Source organism: Homo sapiens, chromosome 20 (genome assembly GCF_000001405.40).
Source record: "Homo sapiens chromosome 20, GRCh38.p14 Primary Assembly".
NCBI classification, from domain to species: Eukaryota; Metazoa; Chordata; class Mammalia; order Primates; family Hominidae; genus Homo; species Homo sapiens.
The window spans coordinates 61,056,633-61,059,818 of record NC_000020.11 but is presented as its reverse complement, the minus strand read 5'-3'; the positions used below and the strand labels follow the sequence as shown (position 1 = coordinate 61,059,818).

General features: G+C 50.6%; 1 annotated feature.

Moving 5' to 3' along the window:
- Window positions 1,493–2,413: an enhancer, noted in NCBI's record as "H3K4me1 hESC enhancer chr20:59632462-59633382 (GRCh37/hg19 assembly coordinates)". NCBI's record gives its function as "activates a minimal SCP1, AML or CMV promoter by ChIP-STARR-seq in primed H9 embryonic stem cells {active_cell/tissue: H9 hESC(primed)}" and the evidence as "EXISTENCE:reporter gene assay evidence [ECO:0000049][PMID:30033119]".

Genomic DNA, 3,186 nt, shown 5'->3' with positions numbered 1-3,186 from the left:
CCACAGCACTCCAGCCTGGTGACAGAGTGAGACTCTGTCTCAAAAAAAAAAAAAAAAGAATCATTATCATGACTTGTGTGAGCTCTGCCATCACAACCAGGTAGGTCCTCTAAGGTGAGAAACAGAAGGAGTAGGGTTTGTGTAGAAGTATGTTCTGCCCTTCTGGAAGGAACTTTATTAGGGAATCACACCTGAAATGTTACTTCTTTGACCGCACACCTGGGTGAGCTGGTTCAAATCAATCCTAGAATCAGCTGGGCAGGAAGGGGTCCATGTGTTCACCTGGTCCTGTCTCGAATGCTCTTGACCCTTTTTGAGTTGCTGGCCATATAGAGCTCTCAAATTCTTGACTCTTCACTTTGAATTTAATTAAAACCATCAAGGTCATCCACTGACTCTTTCAGCTCATTCTGATGTCTGTTCAATTTTTATGGAATCCCATTAAAGTTCACTGCAGATATGTTAAAAACTTTAAATGTTTTACAGAAAGTTTTAAACCACTTTAGATGACTTTTGCTGTGTAGAACAAGGGCACTGGGGACTTCCCACATCACCCCAAGCTGAAATCACAGAGGAAACAGCCTCAGTTCCCAACACTGTGGGTTCCATGAGGTGGATGCTCAGGAGGTGAAGGCTCCCGTGTAAGACACACCTCCCCAGCACACTTGAGCCATCCAGTACGATGGCCACTGGCCACTTGGGAGCTTTGAACACTTGACATTTGTCTTGTCTAAATTGAGGTGTGTTGTAAGTGTGAAACATATGTCAGATTTTGAAGACTTGGTATAACAAAAGTATGTTCAACTTCTCATTTATATTTTTATATTGATTACATGTTGTAATCAAAGTGATAGTATTTTGCATATAGTGAATTAAGTACAATACACTACTAAAATTTATTTTGCCTATTTATTTCCCCTGTTTTAGTATGGCTACTAGAAAATGTCTGGTCACACTGGTGGCTTGCATGCATCACCTCCCTCTGCCTCTCCTCCTTCCTGCAACCCTGAGAAGCCTTTCCTGATGGGAGTGGGGTGGGAATTCAGTTATTTCTCAGGACATGTATCCTGGAGTACTCTGTCCCCCAAGGCAGGGACTTTGGGGGAAACAGATGACACCCCAACCCCATCTGCCTATGCATCCCCTTACCCCATGATCAATAACCCCCCTTAGCTTCTTAAACTTTCTCTCCGGTGGGAAAGATGGGTATGTGTCCCACCAGGCAATTCTATTAGTATCATTAATCCCATTGTACAGATAAGAACATGAAGGCTTATGAGATAAAACCGTTCATCTGAAGCTCTCAGAGTCTGCAGGAGGCCAAATTTGGGTCTTTCTGACCCCAAGCCTAATCTCTTCTGATTTTTAAAAATGTGATATTTAAGACGGCCTCATTGATGAGCCCAGTTTATTTTTTTATTATTATTTTTTTGCATTCTCAACTAATTCTAAGCCCCCTGGGGTAGGAGCCGTGCCTCATCACCTCTCCTTCCAAAGCGCCTGTGGGTAAATGACAGGAGCTCTCTGTGTGTCTCCCGAACTTGTCTTCATCCTTGCTTCATTTTCTTTCTTTTTCAAGATGGCAAGAGAAGGCAGGCTCCTCAGTTCCCCACGAACTCTTCAGGGGTTTCTGCGGCCCAGACCTTTCCCCAGCTCTCTTTAGTCACCTCTGTGTATCCCAGAGTGGACTTGGGGGAGCCAGCGCTTAGGGCTGGCCACTACCTTCCCGTCATTCTCTCTCTGCGGCCAGCATATTTTAGCCTGTGAGAAACACCGAGCCGCTGCCTGAGGCCCTTCCAGAACACTCAGCCCTGGTGTTGCCGCTGGCTGCAATTGGCATCATTGAGAGGCACCTGCCGGGTTTTTGAATCAGTGGTGTAAGGGTGGCCACACACCACCTCTCATGGTCAGAAAAGAATGCAGACTTGGGCTGTAGGGGGCTGTCCTCCCGGCAGGTGGAGAATGAGATCGACTCCCCAGGAAAGCAAAGACAGTCAGCTCAGGGGCTGATGGAGGGGCAGACAGCTCTGGGCACTGGGAACCCCCCTTCCAGTGTGCGAGGTCCTGGCTCCCAGCCCGCTGAGCTTCCTGGAGTGTCGTTCAACTCCAGGTCATGTTCGGCCCCCCATCGATACGGCACCAGCTTGCTGCCACTGGGGTCTTTATGTCCAACATGGTCCCTCAGGGCTTGCTGTCCTCCCCTGCAGAGTGAAATCCTGGACCTGTCATCTCCATGTTCCCCTGCAGTGGAAGCTGCGATTCTGCTGTGAGCCCTCTCTCACTGGAGAAGCGGCTTGGTGTGGGCCCTTGAGGAGTAATCCGTGTGCTGAGCCGTGAAGCTTCTTGTCCCTCTAGGAACCCCTGTTGCTCCGGCAAGGTGGCTGTCAGGCAGGTCCACTGAGTGCCCTGAGGAGCGCAGTTTCTCTCTTTGTTCCTGCGGGGCCAGGGTCTGTTCTCGCAGATGGGCTTCGGCCCAGAGGTGAGTTGGCTGGAAAGGAGCCCTGAGAGAGGGCAGCCCCTCTCGCCTTCCCTAGCTCTGAAAACACTCAGCTCTGCACAGCTGTCAAAGCAAGAGGCACGGCTAAGCCCACAAGGCTCCAGCCACTTAATGAGGCCTTTAGCCATCTCTTCCCCTGGCCTCTGAGAGTGTAAACCACAGGTGGGGAGGAGGCCCTGGGGCACTTGTTTCTTCATCTGAAAGACACGGAAGGTGTTTTCTTGCACCTTGTGGTGGATCACGGGTGGCTGTTGGTTACAGGCAGCTCTGCAGTGTGGCTGAGAGGCTGGGCTGCTGCTGGGTGAGGCTGGGCTGCTGCTGGGTGAGGCTGGGCTGCTGCTGGGCGTGAAACTTCAAATCCTGATCACTGGGCCCTGCGTACCTGTGTTATCCTGGACAAAGGGGCCTTCTTGGCATCAGATTCCTGCCCCATGGGTGGGAATGGTTGCTGACCTCACCTCGAAGGGCTGCAGAGAGTCTAAGATAGGGTCACGCATGCCCAAGGTGCAGTGCAGAGGCCTCAGGCCACACACAGCAAGGGCAGCCATTGCCGCTCACCCCGCCCTAATCATCACATTCACGTGGTACATGAGAACAGCCAGCTGCTTCTCGAGTTCTAACCAGGCCCCCCAAACTTCTCTACCTCCAAGGACACACAGACCATGATGAACTTTGTCTGGCTCATGGAG